General features: G+C 53.1%; 1 protein-coding gene and 1 long non-coding RNA gene across 2 annotated transcripts in view, besides 1 other annotated feature; one reads left to right on the top strand and one right to left on the bottom strand.

The window, feature by feature from the left end:
• GNA15-DT (GNA15 divergent transcript) overlaps positions 1–12168 on the top strand; it is a 13600-nt gene extending 1432 nt beyond the window's left edge. Inside the window, exons 2-4 of the long non-coding RNA NR_110670.1 lie at positions 3954–5128; positions 10551–10681; positions 11314–12168. This is a non-coding gene — a long non-coding RNA (GNA15 divergent transcript). The remainder of the gene's footprint in view (positions 1–3953; positions 5129–10550; positions 10682–11313) is intronic.
• GNA15 (G protein subunit alpha 15) overlaps positions 1–17711 on the bottom strand; it is a 27717-nt gene extending 10006 nt beyond the window's left edge. Inside the window, exons 1-4 of the mRNA NM_002068.4 lie at positions 17149–17711; positions 4969–5153; positions 3459–3613; positions 1909–2037 (exon numbers count right to left, since the gene is read on the bottom strand). Coding sequence (NP_002059.3) covers positions 1909–2037; positions 3459–3613; positions 4969–5153; positions 17149–17293 — 614 coding nt within the window. The 5' untranslated portion in view covers positions 17294–17711. The remainder of the gene's footprint in view (positions 1–1908; positions 2038–3458; positions 3614–4968; positions 5154–17148) is intronic.
• Positions 11698–12198: an enhancer, noted in NCBI's record as "H3K4me1 hESC enhancer chr19:3141544-3142044 (GRCh37/hg19 assembly coordinates)". NCBI's record gives its function as "activates a minimal SCP1, AML or CMV promoter by ChIP-STARR-seq in naive H9 embryonic stem cells {active_cell/tissue: H9 hESC(naive)}" and the evidence as "EXISTENCE:reporter gene assay evidence [ECO:0000049][PMID:30033119]".

The following is a 17711-nucleotide window of genomic DNA, read 5'->3' as shown; positions in this document are numbered from 1 at the left end:
CCATGCATTCACCCACCCATTCATCCATCCATTCATCCATCCCACCCACCCATCCATCTATCCACTCATCCATCCATCCTTCACTCACCAATCCACCCACCCATCCATTCACCCATCACCCTTCCACCCATCTACCCATTAATTCATCCATCCACTCATTCACCCATCCATCCACCCATTCATCCACCCATCTATCCATCTATCCACTCATCCACCCACTCATCCATTCATGTATCACCCATCCACCCATCTAACCATCCATCCATCCATCCATCCACTCATCCCTCTTTCAATCCATCCATCTATCCATCCATTCATCCATCCACCCACTCATCCATCTATCCATTGATTCATCCACTCATCCATCCTGCCACTCCATCCATCCACTCATCTATCCCTCAACTTATCCATCCATCTATTCATCTATCCATCCACCCATTCATCCACCCATCCATTCCCTTCCATCTTTCCTTTTTTTTTTTTTTTAAAGATTCCCAGACCAAGTATCTCTCCCATAGAAGTCATCCTTGGGTACTAACACTACTATTGTGTCCCAGAGCTGGTTCCTTCTCGTGGGTTCTCGGTCTCGCTGACTTCAAGAATGAAGCCGCAGACCTTCGCAGTAAGTGTTACAGCTCTTAAAGGTGGTGTGGACCCAAAGAGTGAGCAGCAGCAAGATTTATTGTGAAGAGCGAAAGAACAAAGCTTCCACAGCGTGGAAGGGGACCCGAGCGGGTTGCCCCCATTCCATCTTTCCAACCATCCACCCACATTTACCAACTTCTACTCTGACCTTTAGCTATTCACTAAAGAAGCAGAAGAATCAAACTCAGCCCCTAACCTTGTGAGGCTCTCCATCTTGTAGAGGAGACCCACAGAAAACAGATAAATTATGAACCTTCCTAGTAAGGACTATTGAAGAGGCCAAAACAATAGGTTTGGGGGATTTAGGGAAAGGAAGGCCAAATAGGGGTAGGTCAAACACAATCGCTGTCTCTGGGCATGACTTTGCACCCCTGCTCAGCTCCCCGCCATCAGCCCATGGAAACAGATCTTGCTAAGGTCACCAGTGACCCTCTAACTGCCAATCCCAGAGTCATTCTTCTCACTGTATTCTTGACCTTTCCTTTCCTGACCTTTGACATTGGCCATTGCTCTGCTGGGTTAGGGTTAGGGTTAGGGTGCTGCACTGGCCATTCCCACCTCTGTCTGCCAGCTAAGGTGGAGTCCCCCTAGGCCCCTCAGACTCAACCTGTCCCAAAGGACTCCATCACCACCTTTTCATCCTCTAGCCCACCGGCTCCACTGTCTACCCCCATCACCTTGACAAAAAACTCAGGTGTCATTTTTGACTTCCTGTTCTAATTCCCACACTCATCCAGTCCTGCCCATTCCACATCAGAAACAACTCTTGCCCATCCCTTCCTTTCCATCCCCACGCCCGCTGTCCTGGCTCCTCCTTTTTCTGAGTTTCCTGACTTCCAGCCTCACACTCTAGTCCATCCCCCAGTGTTGATGACTACAGGGATCACCTCTGAGCTCCCCAGACCAGGCCTCCCCAGACCTGGTCCTGACTGTATAGTCTCTATTTCCTCCTCCCCAGCAGCCCCTTCAGGGTTAGGACTACTGAACTCCTATTCGTCTTTCAAAACCCCATTAATATTCCCTCCTCCAAGAAGATATTCCCTCCTGGATCTCTGATGCCTCAGCCTGGGCTCCTACAGGTCCCAGTCCTGACTACCTGGGGGCCTGGAGGTGTCTACATGGAGCTTTGCTTCCCCTAGCTTGGCAGCTCCTTGAAGGCTGGGCCTAAGAAACTCCTACTCATCCCTCAGGGCCCCAGCTCCTTTGCCCTTCCTACAGGAAGCCTTCCCTGCCCCCTAGGCTGGGCCTAGGTGGAGCGCTCACCGCAGGTTGGTTTTCTGCACGGAGAAGCAGTACTCGTTGATGCCAGTGGTGGGCATGCGGCTGCGGAGCACGTCCTGAGCTGTGGGGACGTAGCCCTCCTCGGTGATGCGCTCCAGGTGGGACAGGTAGCTGCAGAGCAAGGAGTCCTGAGGCCCAGCCTTGCAGCCAGCCTCCCTTTGCTTCCCAGGCCCTACGAAAGGCCCAGCAAGGACCCTGCTGGGGGAGGAGAGCTCCCTGGGTGGAGGTGGGGTCCCTGGAGTTGGCAGATGGCCCAGGAGCGTCCCCCACCTGAGGCAATGGAGCCCCAAGGAAAAGCAGCTTCACACGCAGAGCAGGGTGACCCGAGGGATGGCGTGACATGAGGAATGGCCTCATCGAGGAGTGGTGTCCCCCGGGAGAGCTGCTATGGCAGGGGTGGCGCTACCCCAAGAATGCTGGTAGCCTGGGAACAGTCTTCCCAGACATCAAGCCACCTTGGACATCCACCATCACACCTAGTACAGGATCCCACTAGGAATAGGGTCACCCCCAGAACAGGGTCTCCCCTGGAACAGAGTCCCCCCTAAAACAGGGTCACTTTAGGAACAGGGTCCCCCCAGGAACAGGGTCACTCCAGGAACAGGGTCCCCCCAGAATAGGGTCCCCTCAGAAACAGGGTCACTCCCAGAAAAGGGTCCCTTCTAAAACAGGGGCACTCTAGGAACAGGTTCCCGCCAGGAATAGGGTCACTCCGGGAACAGGGTTCTCTAGGAATAGGGTTCCCCCAGGAACAAGGTCCCCCCAGGAACAGGGTCCCTCCAAGAACAGGGTCACTCTAGGAATACAGTCCCCCCAGGAACAGGATCACCCCTAGGAACAGGGTCACTCCAGGAAAAGGATCAACGCCAGAACAGGATCCCCCAGGAAATAGGGTCTCCCTGGGAACAGAGTCACCCCCGGGAACAGGGTCCCCCCAGAAACAGGGTCACCCCTGAAACAGGGTCCTCACGGGAACAGGGACTCCAAGGCCCAGGGTCACTCCAGGAACAGGGTTCTCCAGGAATAGGGTTCCCCCCAGGATCAGGGTTCCCCCCAAGAACAGGGTCACTCTAGGAATACGGTTCCCCCAGGAACAGGGTCACCCCTGAAACAGGGTCCTCGCAGGAACAGGGAACCCCAGGCACAGGGTCACTCTAGGAACAGGATACCCCCTAGAACAGGGTCTCCCCAAGGAACTGGATTCCCTCAGGAACAGAGTCACTCCTAGAACAGAGTCCCCCTATGAATAGGGTCATTCCAAGAACAAGATCACCGCCAGAACAGAGTCCCAAGGAACAGGGTCCACCCAGGAACAAGGTCATTCCATGAAGGGAGTTCCCCCAGGAAAAGGGTCACCCCCAGAACAGGGTCCCCCGGGAATTAGGGTCCCCCTGGAAGGACCTCATCCTGGAGCAGGACCACCTCACAGCCCATCTGCGCCCACAATATCTCCTGCTGCAGGAAGCCAGCCAGCCTGGCCCCTGCCCTCAGCCCCTCCCCACGCGCCCATCCCCCGCAGACCCCAGACTCACTACACGGCTGAATCGAGCAGGTGGAATTCCCGCCGACGCTCATAGCAGGCCCGGATGCCGGCATCCCTCCACAGCCACTGCATGGCCGCAGCGTAGCGCTTCTCAAACGTGGTCACTTTATAGGGGTCCTGGCTCATGACCAGGCTAGCGTGGTGCTGGGGAGGGAGGACGGGGGCAGTTAGGGTAGCCTTTCTGAGTGGGGCTGCCCTCCGCAGGCATCTCTGCAAGCCCCCACGTCCCTCCCTGAAACACGCTCTCTTCCCACTGCTCTCCTTCTTCCCCAGAGCTCCCGACCCCCCCGCACACTTCTGATTTGTCCTCCGTCTGTTCTTGCATGGATCCCCAGAGGGAAAAGCACAGACCACCACATGAGGGGCTGCAGAGGGCACATGTGCTCGGGCGAGCCCAGGCTCAGGGGGAGCATGGCACCCAGCCCCGCTCTTTACACTAGCTGGCTCCCAGGAAGCACGGCACTCACAGTCCCCCCTTCCACAGATGAAGCGACTAAGACACAGAGCACTGAAGCAATCTGCCCCTCAGAAGTCCCCCAGAGGCGCGTGAACCCTGAGCTGCCCCCCAGACTCTGGGTTTCCCCTTCTTTTCCCCAAACAGCCCTAGCTCCCCCCAGGCACTCGCGTTGCTCAGACCTTTGTGATGGACTCTGAGTGTTGTGTGTGCATTTCTCTGTGTTTGTTCATGTACAAGCGTGCTCGTGTGTGTGTGTGTATAGATGTACACATGTACATGGGTGTGTCTGGGTGTGTGATTTGTTTGCATATTTGTGTGTGGGGCACGCGCATGTATCCTTGGCTGCATTTGTGGGTGCGTGCATAGGTGTGCTTGTGTGTGCATTTGTATGTGTGCACACATGTGCGTGCATGTGCATGGGGGGATTGCATGCAGGCATGTGTGTATCCTTGTGTGTTTGTGTATGTGCATGTGTGTGTGTGCATGTGGGAATTTGCATGCATGCTTGTGTGTGTTTGTGTATGTGCATGTGTGTGTGTGCATGTGGGAATTTGCATGCATTCTTGTGTGTGTTTGTGAGTGTGTACACGTGCATGGGCGTGTTTGAGTGTGTACATTTGTGTGTGCACTTATTTGTGTGCATCTGTGTGGGGGCATCTGCATGGATCCTTGTGTGCATTTGTGTGTGTGCACACGTGTGCACGTGTGTGCATTCATTTGTGTATGTGTGTGGGTGTGTGCATGTGGGCATGCGTGTGTATCTTTGTGAGCATGTACGTGTGTGTCCTTGTGTGCATGTCTGTGCGTGTGCATACATGTGCGTGTGTGCATTTATGCGTGTATACTTGTGTGTGCACTTGTATGTATGCACATATGTCTGGAGGACATGGCCTTGCCCCAGGGTCTGGGGACCCTTCCCTGCCTGCCCTGCCCTGCCCTGCCCTGCCCTGAAGTCTGGGGAACTTGGCCCTGCTCCGGGGTCTGGGGAACCCTGCCCTGGGCCCCTGCCTGCCCTGGGCCCCTGCCTGCCCTGGCGGCTCACCTTGCTCTCGGGCCTGCTGAATGGAATCTGCAGCCGCTCCATGGCCTCGATCATGGCCCGCATGGACACGAAGATGTTCTGGTAGACCAGGGGCCGGAAGCCCTTGCGCTCCTCCTCCGAGTAGCCGGCGCCGTGGATGATCCGCATCTGCTTGATGAAGGTGCTCTTCCCGCTCTCGCCTGGGCCTGGGGATGGAGCAGCAGAACCGCTCAGCCCTCCACGGGACTCCCACCCCCGACACCCCCAACCCCACGTCAGACACCCCCAACTCCACGCCAGGCCTCCTGGGTTCAAACCCCGGTGCAGCCGGGACCTCACTCAGTGACCCTAGGCTAGCGGCTTTGCCGCTCTGTGCCTTGGTTTCCCCATCTGTAAAACATGAACCTCAGGCTGGGCACGGTGGCTCATGCCTGTAGTCCCAGCACTTTGGGAGGCTGAGGCAGGCGGATCACCTGAGGTCAGGAGTTAGAGACCAACCTGGTAAACATGGCGAAACCCCATCTCTATTAAAAATACAAAATTAGCCGGGTGTGGTGGCTCACGCCTGTAATCCCAGCTACGCAGGAGGCTGAGGCAGGAGAATCGCTTGAACCTGGGAGGCAGAGATTGCAGTGAGCTGAGATCACACCATTGTACTCCAGCCTGAGCGACAGGGCGAGATTCTGTCTCAAAAAAAAACAAAACAAACAAACAAAAAAAACAAAACATGGACCTCAACAGACCATGCCTGCTGCATCAAACTGAGGGCCAAATGAATTGATTATAAAATGCTCACGGTAAGGGTCGCAAACTCCGGCTGCTTGAGGGCCAGATCCAGTTATCTTTGTGTGGCCAGAAAGTTTTTGTTTGTTTTTGTTTTCTTTTTCTCTTCTTTTTTTTTTTTTTTTTGAGATGGAGTCTTGCTCTGTCACCCAGGCTGGAGTGCAGTGGCGCGACCTCGGCTCACTGCAAGCTCCGTCTCCCGGGTTCACACCATTCTCCTGCCTCAGCCTCTCTGAGTAGCTGGGACTACAGGCACCCGCCACCACGCCCGGCTAATTTTTTTGTATTTTTAGTAGAGACGGGGTTTCACCGTGGTCTTGACCTCGTGATCCACCCGCCTCGGCCTCCCAAAGTGCTGGGATTACAAGCGTGAGCCACCGCGCCTGGCCAGTTTTTGTGTTTTTAATACTTTTTATGGTTATGGTTCTTATGGGTTTTTTTCTTTTTTCTTTTTTTCTTTTTTTTTAGACAGATTCTCTGTTGCCCAGGCTGGAGTGCAATGGCGCAATCTCAGCTCACTGCAACCTCTGGCTCCCAGGTTCAAGTGATTCTCCTCCCTCAGCCTCCCAAGTAGCTGGGGTAACAGGCGCGTGCCACCACGCCTAGTTAATTTTTGTATTTTTAGTACAGCTGTGGTTTCACCATGTTAGCCAGGCTGGTCTCAAATTCCTGGGCTCAAGTGATCCGTCTGCCTCGGCCTCCCAAAGTGCTGGGATTACAGGCGTGAGCCACCGTGCCTGGCCTATTTTTATTATTTATCATAACAATACTAATATGTATTATTATTTGCTACAATAATTTCAGGTAGAGAAACTTTTACGAAAGAAATAACATAGGATAAATAGGGCAAGGAGTAATTAGGTGACTACGATAGCCACGCAGTCAAGGAAGGCCTCTCAGTGGAAGTGATTTGTGAGCAGTCAAGGAAGGCCTCTCAGTGAAAGTGATTTGTGAAGGCCGGAAGGTGGCTGTCAAAATCTTAGAGGGCACACCAGGTGACAGTAACAGCTTGTGCAAAGGCCCTGGGGCAGGGCCGCACCTGGCATATTGGAGGAACAGTGAGGAGGCCCTTGTGGCTGGAGCAGAGTGAGGAGGGGGAGAGAGGAAGGAGGGGAGGGTGGGTTGTGCTGGGCCTTGTGGGTTGCAGGGAAGTCTTGGGCTTTGACCCTGAGGGACTTGGGAGCCATGGAGGGCTGTGGGCAGAGGAGGGACTGGCCCTGACTCAGGTGCTCACAGGCGCCCTCTGGTGGCTGCTGCAGGGAGGACAGGCTGTGGGGGGTGGTCTGGGGGAGCCCGGACCAGGGCAGTGGGGACTGCGTTGGTTCAGGTGAGCAACCGTGGGGCTGGACCAATGTGGCTGTCATGGAGCTGGAGAGGAGAGGACATATTTGAGAGACACTGGGGAGACAGAATCGACCTGACCTTGCTGACAGATGGTACAAAATCTGGCAGGGTCCTTGCAGGGCCAGCCACAGATTTTCTGGGGCTGGGTGCAAGCTGAAACTTCAGGCTCTTCTGAGCCTGGAACCCTCTGGGACAGCCCAGTTCGCGCACCTGCCAAACCGGCCCTGGGTCCGGGATACTGATGCTGGAGTCTTCAAGAGCCTGGGACTAGAGGTTCAAAGACACCAGCTCAGCCCCCCGCTAAGCTCTGACATCCCAAGGCTGCCCTTCCCCCTCTCTGTGTCTCAATTTTCTCATCTGTAAAATGGGTATGATCCACCAGGTGGGAGGTGGGGGCTGGAGGCTTGCCCAGCATCTCGTCTGGCTCCTGGGGGCACCAGCATGGGCCCCAACCAGCGATGGGAGAGGGGATGGGACTGCTTCTGCCTCCAGGGTTGGCGTGCAGAGGGCGGGGGTAGGGGTCGGTGCAGGCAGGACTTGATCGAGCAAGCGGCAGCAAAAAGGGAAGGAGTGGCTTGGTTGGGGCCCAGAAAGAGGAAATGGGAGCAGAGGAGAAGGCCGGAGCACGGAGAAGGGGCGGGGGTGTCACCTCCCATCTCCCCAAAGGGCTGTCTCCAACGCCTCCAACTCCACCTAGCAGGTGCCACCTGCACACTGGAGAGCCATGGGGGCAGGTCGGGGGTGGCCGCCTCGACTCTCCAGTCCTCAGTTTCTCCAGGGGTCATGTCTATTTGGCTCAAAGTCAAGAAACAGGCTTTTCTCGGCTGGGCACAGTGGCTCACGCCTATAATCTCCGCACTTTGGGAGGCTGAGGTGGCCAGATCACTTGAGGTCAGGAGTTCGAGACCAGCCTGGCCAACACGGTGAAACTCTGTCTCTACTAAATATACAAAAATTAGCGGGGCATGCTGGTGGGCGCCTGTAATCCCAGCTATTCGGGAGGCTGAGGCAGAAGAATTGCTTGAACTCGAGGCAGAGGTTGCAGTGAGCTGAGATCGTGCCACTACACTCCAGCCTGGGTGACAGAGTGAGACTCTATCTCAAAAATAAAAAAATAAAAAAAGGTACCAGGTCTGCAACTTAGTCAAAAATGGTTCAGAAAACAGTGTATATGCTTGGGCATGGTGTAGCGGCTCATGCCTATAAATCCAGTGCTTTGGGAAGCTAAGGGAGGGGGGCGGCTTGGGCCAAGGAGTTCAAGACCACCCTGGGCAACATAGTGAGACCCCATCTCTACAAAAAAAAAAAAATATATATATATATATATATATATTTAGTCAGACGTAGTGGTGCACACTGGTAGTTACAGCTACTCATGAAGCTGAGGTAGGAGGATCATTTGAGCCCAGGAGGTTGAGGCTGCAGTGAGCCATGATCACACCACTGCACTCCAGCCTGGGTGACAGAACAAGACCTTGTCTCAAAAAAAAAAGTTTCCAAAAAAAATTAAAAACTAGGGCTGGGCGCAGTGGCTCATGCCTGTAATCCCAGCACTTTGGGAAGCTGAGGCAGGCAGATCACCAGGTCAGGAGTTCGAGACCAGCCTGACCAACATGGTGAAACCCTGTCTCTACTAAAAATACAAAAACCCTGTCTCTACTAAAAATACAAAAATTAGCTGGGCATGGTGGCGCGCACCTGTAATCCCAGCTACACAGGAGGCTGAGGCAGGAGAATTGCTTGAACCTGGGAGGCGGAGGCTGCAGTGAGCCGAGATCATGCCACTGCACTCCAACCTGGGTGACAGAGCCAGACTCTGTCTCAAAAAAAATAAAAATAAAGGGCCGGGCCCGGTGGCTCACGCCTGTAATCTCAGCACTATGGGAGGCCAAGGCGGGCGGATCACGAGGTCAGGAGATCGAGACCATCCTGGCTAACACGGTGAAACCCCGTCTCTACTAAAAATACAAAAAATTAACCGGGCATGGTGGCGGGCGCCTGTAGTTCCAGCTACTTGGGAGGCTGAGGCAGGAGAATGGCGTGAACCGGGGAGGCGGAGCTTGCAATGAGCCGAGATCATGCCACTGCACTCCAGCCTGGGTGACAGAGCGAGACTCCGACTCAAAAAAAAATAAATAAAATATAAATAAATAAATAAACAAACAAACTACTCAAACGACAACATCCCCCAGGTCCACAATCTGAAATTCTCTGATGCAGAGCTGTGAGAGCTTCAGATTCCAGAATTTATTGCATGTTAGGATGGGGACATGTCAACTCACTAATATTCCTGCAGCGGAATGTAGGAATGGGAGTCAGTGCAATAAACAAACATCCTCCCACCCGTTTCTTTGAGTTTCTCATGGAGACACTATGGGGGACCATCAAGTTTTTGGAGCTTTGGCTATTTGGGGCTAGTAGCAGAGGGAATTGTGAGCTTGCTGGCCCTTGACTGGGTGTCCCTGGTGAGCTAAGAGCTGGAGTCCCACCATCTGTCCTGAGCCTCACCACGAGAGGGGGACAACTCTTTTTTTTTTTTTTTGAGAGGGAGTCTTTCTTGCTCTATCGCCCAGGCTGGAGTGCAGTGTCGCGATCTCGGCTCACTGTAAGCTCCACCTCCCGGGTTCACGCCATTCTCCTGCCTCAGCCTCCCAAGCAGCTGGGACGACAGGCGCCCACCACCATGCCCAGCTAATTTTTTTTGTTTTTTTTTAGTAGAGACGGGGTTTCACCATGTTAGCCAGGATGGTCTCGATCTCCTGACCTTGTGATCCACCCGCCTCGTCCTCCCAAAGTGCTGGGATTACAGGCGTGAGCCACTGCGCCTGGCCAAGAGAGGGACAACTCTTAGCCCTGTTTCCATGTGGGGAAACTCAGTCTCGGGGCCGTTGAGGGAATTGCTGTGGGTCGCACAATTCCTTCAATGGTCCTGGTGAGTGGCAGACTGGGATTCAAACTCAGTTCTGTTTGAGTCTAGAGCCTATGGGCTTTTATTTTTTATTATTATTATTATTTTTGAGACAGGGTCTCACTCTGTCACCCAGGCTAGAGTGCAGTGGCTTGATATTGGCTCACTGCAACCTCCACCTCATGGGTTTCAAGCGATTCTCCTGCCTCAACCTCCAGACTAGCTGTCATTACAGGTGTGCACCACCGTGTCCGGCTAATTTTTGTATTTTTAGTAGAGACAGGGTTTTGCCATTTTGGCCAGGCTGGTCTCGAACTCCTGGCCTCAAGGGATCCACTTGCCTTGGCCTCCCAAAGTACTGGGATTACAGGCATGAGCCACCTTGAGCTTATGGGTTTCTAAATTATTATACCTGGAGGTTCCTTTACCCTGCCTGAATGATTATAACAATCATAATAAAAATCACAGCTAGCATGATTTAAATCTTACCGTCTTCCCAACCCCGAGCCCAGAGACTCTACGGATCCCCAGTTAATCCTCACAGATTCTATGATTTTCCCATTTGCAGATGAGACACAGAGGACCAGAGAGGTTTAGTGACTTAATTTGGGTCACACAGCAAGTGGAACCCCAGGGGAGTAAACTTGGGGTCGTGTGAGTCCTTCACCAACAAAATGGGACACGGCCAGTCGAGCTGGGGTAGGTGTCATTAACACGTCTGTTAAAGCAATGTTTTTACAGAGTCTGGGAGGCTCGACAGCTCCTTGGGGTGTGGCATTGAGCCCAACTGCCGATGACTGGACTTTTTGAGCTCCTGTCCCCCAATTGCCTTCCAACCCTCAGATCTTCTTCTTCCTTTTTTTTACTTTTTGTTTTTATTTTTATTTTTTGATATAGAGTCTGGCTCTGTCACACAGACTGGAGTGCAATGGTGTGATCTCAGCACACCGCAACCTCCTCCTCCCAGGTTCAAGCGATTCTCCTGCCTCAGCCTCCCAGGCAGCTGGGATTAGAGGCGTGCACCACCACACCCGGCTAATTTTTGTGTTTTTAGTAGAGACGAGGTTTCACCATGTTGGCCAGACTGGTCTTGAACTCCTGGCCTCAAGTGATCCACCCCTCCTCAGCCTCCCAAAGTGCTGGGATGACAGGCCTGAGCCACCGCGCCCAGCCAGGACTGGACCTTTTGGGCTCCTGTCCCCCAGTTGTCTTCCAACTCTCAGATCTTAGTTTGCCCCAAAGTGCAGAGAACAAACATAAGTCTTGGCAAGCAACAGTTGGCTTTATTTTGTGATGCACTGATTTTTTTTTCCTCTTCTGCTTTGTTATAGGAAATAAATGATAATCCTGTTGCCACCCGCGACACAGATTTGATGACTCAGGGATGGGTCATCACCCGAAGCCTGAAGAGCTGCGTGAGAACCCCCTCTTTGCAATCCATTGCTGTCCTGAAGCCACAAAGGATTCTGGGACCTCTCCATTGCCCCCCGACCCCCAGACATCCCCCAGCTCCTGGATAGAAATGGTGGGAGTGATCTGTTTTAGGATACCCCCAAAGGCCATGCGGCCCAGACGGGAAGTTCCTGCTTCCTCCTGGGCACGGAGGAGGACAGGAGGAAGTGGAACCGGCAGATGCCAGGAAGGAACTGGGTTAACCGTGCCAAGCCCCAGTCATCACAAGGCAACTGGAGCCAGCTATGTGCACAGAGTCCAGCACCAGGCCCTCACAGGAAACGCAGCTGCTGGGGAAGTGGGGAGCCAGGCCAGGCAGCCGCAGGGGCAGGAGGCTCGGCCTCTCAGTCCCGCTCTGGCTCAAACTAGCTGCTGACCCCCAATCAATCCTGCTGCCTCCTTGGGCCTCATTTTCCCCATCTGGCACTGGGGTTCTGTGGTGTTTCTGTCCCCCAAGGCAGGCGAACAGGGCAGTCAGGAGCATGGACTTTGGAACCAGAATTCTAGGTGCGAGTCTCAGCTGTGTGACCTTGGGCAAGTCGCTCTGCCTCTCTGAGCCTCAGTTTATCCTTTGGGGGAAACTAGGAGTGCCTGCCTCAAAGTGCTAAGAACAGGCCGGGCACAATGGCTCACATCTCTAATCTCGTCACTTTGGGGAGGCCAAGGCAGATGGATCACCTGAGGTCAGGAGTTCGAGACCAGCCTGGCTAACATGGTGAAACCCCGTCTCTACTAAAAATACAAAAATTAGCTGGGCATGATGGTGCACACTTGTAGTCCCAGCTACTCAGGAAGCTGAGGCAAGAGGATTGCTTGAACCCAGGAGGCAAAGGTTGCCGTGAGCCGAGATCGCACCACTGCACTCCAACCGGGGTGATAGAGTAAGACTCTGTCTCAAAAATAAAAATAAAAAATAAAATGTTTAAAGTGCTAAGGACATAACTGGTCCCTTTCACAGCTTTATTTTCCTGTTTTTGTTGTTGTTCACTTTCTTTTCTTTTCTTTTTTTGTTTTTGTTTAGAGACTGGGTCTCGCAATGTTGTCCAGGCTGGTCTTGAACTCCTGGGCTCAAGCAATCCTCCTGCCTTAGCCTCCCGAGTAACTGGGACTACAGGTATGTGCCACCATACCCGGCTCACGGCTTCATTCTGACTCTCCCCCTTCCCCAATATGAGGGTTGCTTCATGTCAGGGACAGACCCACCCCCACCCTGGTCCTTTTTGCCATCTTCCTCAAAAGGATCAGCCACCTCCAGGTAAAAAAAAAACAGCTTTTGGATTCAATTCCTGTTTCCAAGAAGGGACAGAGGTCTGGAGGTTGCCCTCAGACCTGTCTCCAGGGATGAGGTGGTTTAAACCACAGTCCACAGTGCTACATCAGTGCCTGGGGACATGGATGTCATCCCCTGCCCTCCATCAGTAGAAGGGGCTTCCTGCTTTGAGGCTGGCTGAGTAGTGCCCAGAGTGGTATGTGGAAGGGACTTTCCCAGCTCCAGGAAGATATGATACAGTGTCTGGGGGAAGTTCTCCCCAAAAATGATTCATTCATTCATTCATTCATTCATTCAGCATTTCTTGAGCATCTACTATATGGCAGGCTCATTGTACACCTGTGCTAGATGCTGGAGACACAGGGATGAAGAAGACAGATGTGGTCCCTACCCTTTTGTTGCTTGCTGTATAGCTGGAGAGATAAACAATAAACAAGTGAACAAATAGTGAGGGCCAGGAAGAAAAATCAAACAGAGTAAGGGGAAGGAGAAGATAGGACTGTCTTTATAGCTAGGGTAGTCAGGGAAGACTTCTCTGAGGAGGCGACACTTGGGTTGAGACCTACATGGAGTGAAAGGGCCAGCCAGGCAAAGGTCAGGGATAAATGACCTTGAGGTATTCGAGGAAAGAGCACTAAAAGTGATAAACCCCTAGCTTGATAGATCAAGAAAAAAATGAGCAAAGGCAGAAATGATCGATACCAAGAGCAAAAGAGAGGACATCACTGCAGATCCTACAGACAGTAGCAGGAGAACAAGGGAACGTTATAAATGTTATGCCAATAAATTTGATAACACAGGCAAAATGGACAAATTATTTGAAAGACACAAATGATCAAAACCCACACAAGAAGAAGTAGATAGCCTAAGTAGCCCTATTTATTTAAAATAATAAGACATATCGATATGATACGTCATAATGTGACATAATATGACACATTAATATGTCAAATATAGATAGATAGATAGATAGATAGATAGATAGATAGATAGATTTTTTTTTTTTGAGATGGAGTTTCACTCTTATTGCCTAGGCTGGAGTTCAGTGGTGTGATCTTGGCTCACTGCAACCTCTGCCTCCAAGTTAGAGCAATTCTCCTGCCTCACCCTCCCAAGTAGCTGGGACTACAGGTGCGCACCACCACGCCTGGCTAATTTTTGTATTTTTAGTAGAGATGGGGTTTCACCACATTAGCCAGGATGGTCTCCATCTCCTGACCTCGTGATCCACCCTCCTCGGCCCCCCAAAGTGCTGTGATTGCAGGCGTGAGCCACCGCACCCAGCCCTGATTTTTTATATTTTTAGTAGAGACGGGGTTTCATCGTGTTAGCCAGGATGTTCTCAACCTCCTGACCTCATGATCTGCCCACCTCGGCCTCCCAAAGTGCTGGGATTACAGGCATGAGCCACTGCACCCGGCATTTTTTTTTTTTTTTTTTTGAGACAGAGTCAGCTTTGCTCTGTCACCCAGGCTGGAGTGCAGTGGCATGATCATAGCTCACTGCAGCCTCAACCTCCCAGGCTCAAGTGATCCTCTCACCTCAGCCTCCCAAGTAGTTGGAACTACAGTTGCGCACCACCATGCCTGGCTAATTATTTTATTTATTTATTTTTTTTAGAGACTGGGTCTTGCTAAGTTGCCCAGGCTGGTCTGAAACTCCTAAGCTCAAGCAATCCTCCCACCTAGGCCTCCCAAAGTGCTAAGATTACAGGAATGAACCACTATGCCCTGCTGAGATATTCTTTTATCTCGTTCAGTAAGAGGGATCAAGGCTAGAGTTGAAAGGGCCCTTGACTGGGTGCAGTGGCTCACGCCTGTAATCCCCACACTTTGGGAGGCCAAGGTGGTAGGATCACCTGAGGTCAGGGGTTCGAGACCAGCCTGGCCAACATGGTGAAACCCCATCTCTACTAAAAATACAAAAATTAGCCAGGTGTGGTAGTGCGCACCAGTAGTCCCAGCTGCTCAGGAGACTGAGGCAGGAGAATCACTTGAACCCAGGAGGCGGAGGTTGCAGTGAGCTGAGATCTCACCACTGCACTCCAACCTGGGGGACAGAGCAAGACTCAATCTAAAAAAAAAGAAAAAAAAAAAAAAAGAGGCTGGGCGCGGTGGCTCACGCCTGTAATCCCAACACTTCGGGAGGCCAAGGCGGGTTGATCACCAGGTCAGGAGTTCGAGACCAGCCTGGCCAACATGGTGGAACCCCATCTCTACTAAAAATACAAAAAAAAAAAAAATTAACTGGGCGTGGTGGCGCGTGCCTATAATCCCAGCTACTCAAGAGGCTGAGACAGGAGAATTGCTTGAACCCGGGAGGCGGAGGTTGCAGTGAGTTGAGATCGCACCACTGCACCCCAGCCTGGGTGACAGAGCAAGACTCCGTCTCAAAAAAATAAAAATAAAAATAAGAAAAGAAAAAAGAAAGAAAGGGCCCCCAGTGAAGGTGCAGTTCCTGGGGGTCCCCACCATCCCACTCGATGTTCTCTCTCTTTCCTCTCGGGCGGCCTCTTCCCACTGAACGAGGAAAGGACGATAGCAACCATCACGGGATGATCAAGCTCTTTGCCCGGGGCAGACAAACGCGAGTCCAGAAGACTTGAGACCTTCTCCAGCCCCCAACCCAGAGCTCGGGGATCCCAGAAGACCCTCCCAGGCTAGCATCCCGGGCTTAGGCCAACGGGGCCATAATCAGGGAAAGGTAATTGGGGAAACAAGCTACGGGAATGAGAAGACCCCGAGGTTTCAGAGATCAGAATTTTTTTTTTTTTGAGACGGAGTTTTGTTCTTGTTGCCCAGGCTGGGGTGCAATAGTGCAATCCTGGCTCACTGCAGCCTCCACCTCCTGGTTTCAAGCGATTCTCCTGCCTCAGCCTCCCCAGTAGCTGGGATTACAGGCACATGCCACCACACCCGGCTAATTTTTTTGTATTTTGAGTAGAGACGGGGTTTCGCCACGTTGACCAGGCTGATTTCGAACTCCTGGCCTCAAGTGATCTGCCCGCCTTGGCGTCCCAAAGTGCTGGGATTACAGGCATGATTTATTTATTTATTTTATTTATATTTATTTATTTATTGACAATGAGTCTTGCTCTGTCATCCAGGCTGGAGTGCAGTGGCCCGATCTCAGCTCACTGCAACCTCTGCCTCCTGGGTTCAAGCGATTCTCATGCCTCAGCCTCCCGAGTAGCTGGGATTATAGCTGTGTGCCACCATGCCCAGCTAATTTTTGGTTTTGTTTGTTTGTTTATTTGTTTGAGATGGCGTCTCACTCTGTCGCCAGTCTGGAGTGCAGTGGCATGATCTCAGCTCACTGCAGTCTCCACCTCCTGGTTTCATGCAATTCCCCTGCCTCAGCCTCCCGAGTAGCAGGGACTACAGGCACGCACCACCACATCTGGCTAATTTTTGGTATTTTGGTAGAGATGGGGTTTCACCGTGTTGGTCAGGCTGGTCTCGATCTCCCGACCTTGTGATCCACCCACCTCGGCCTCCCAAAGTGCTGGGATTACAGGCATGAGCCACCATGCCTGGCAAATTTTTGGTATTTTAGTAGAGACGGGGCTTCACCATGTTGGCCTGGCTGTGTCTTGAACTCCTGACCTCAAGTGATCCCACCCGCCTGGGCCTCCCAAAGTGCTGAAATCACAGGCTTGAGCCACTGCACCCAGCCAGAGTTCAGAATCTTGAACCGTTACTGACGTCGACTCCCCCATCTGAAGCCTCCGCATGGAAGCCATCACCCTGTTTTGTTTTCTCCTAGATAATTCTTGTTGCCAGAATTATTTTATCTGCTTATGAGTTTACAGACTAAATGTCTTGGCTCCTTCACAGGAAATGAGATCCAGGAAGACAGAAATATCTTCCCCTGTTTGGCTGCCTCGTTCCTGGGAGCTACCCAATAAATCTTAAATGAATGAATAATGAATGAATGAACCAATGAACCAATCAATCCATCCTTTCTAGCCCCCAAAGGAGCCCTAGACAAGCCCTCTCCAGCCATGGCAGGGAGGTAAAGGCGAGAGGGAGCGTCCTGGTGAAGGAGAGGCTGGAGCCGGCCCCTCCCTTACGGGTGGGCTGGCCAGAACGGGTTGCACACCTGAGCTCATCATTCCCTCGCCATGACACAGACAGGTAGGGCGTGCTGGGCCTGCCCGGCAGGGGCCCGGTAGAGCCACGTCTGCTATTGTATATGCCCCACACAGTGGACAGGCCTGGGCACCTGGCCGCTGGTCGCACGTTGGACAAGGAACTTGGCTTCTCTGAACCTCAGTCTTTCTCATCTGGAAAATGGGTTCCAGGCTCCCCATTCCCTGGGAGGAGGCGACGGCTCCACGATGCCAATGTCTGACCTAGCCTGATCCGCCTCCTTGCCCCGACACCCCTGCCGGCTGGCCACCGCCCACTGCCCACCACCCACCGCCCACCGACCCTGGACTCACCCAAAAGCAGCAGCTTCAGCTCCCCGCGGTCCTGCTTCTTCTGCTCCAAGAGGATCCTGTTGATCTCCTGGTCCACCCGGGCGGCGGCCTTCTCATCCTCCGTCAGGCACCAGGGGCAGCAGCGCCAGGTCAGCGAGCGGGCCATGGTGCGGTGGCCTCAGTCGGCACCGGGTGGCATCGCCCCCGGGCCCCTGCTGGCCAGGGCAACCCCCAGCCCAGCCGGCCCTGGAGAGGGCTCCGGGCAACCGGGTGCGCAGGGAGGCTGCCTTTTCCTTGGGGGTCACCCCCCAGGGACCTAGACTTCCTTGCCTGAAACACCCAGGAAGCCCGGCTCGGCGGTGGCAAGGCTTGAGTGCTGGGAACAGGGTGGGGACGGGAGGAGGTGGGGAGGCCAGGGCTCCCCGCCCACCTCCAGACCTGCTCAGACCCGGCCCGACAGGTTGACGGTGAAGGGTGCCAGGAGAGGGTGAGGTGGGGGCCCCAGGGAGGGCGGGGCGGTGGCGGGAAAACCCCCACCGCAGACTGGGTCCTGTGTGACCAGCAGGGCCCTTCTTCCTCCTTCT

The sequence above is a fragment of the Homo sapiens genome, chromosome 19 (assembly GCF_000001405.40).
Source record: "Homo sapiens chromosome 19, GRCh38.p14 Primary Assembly".
Classification (NCBI taxonomy): domain Eukaryota; kingdom Metazoa; phylum Chordata; class Mammalia; order Primates; family Hominidae; genus Homo; species Homo sapiens.
Note: the sequence above shows the minus strand (reverse complement) of the source record. Positions and strands in the feature narration are given on the sequence as shown.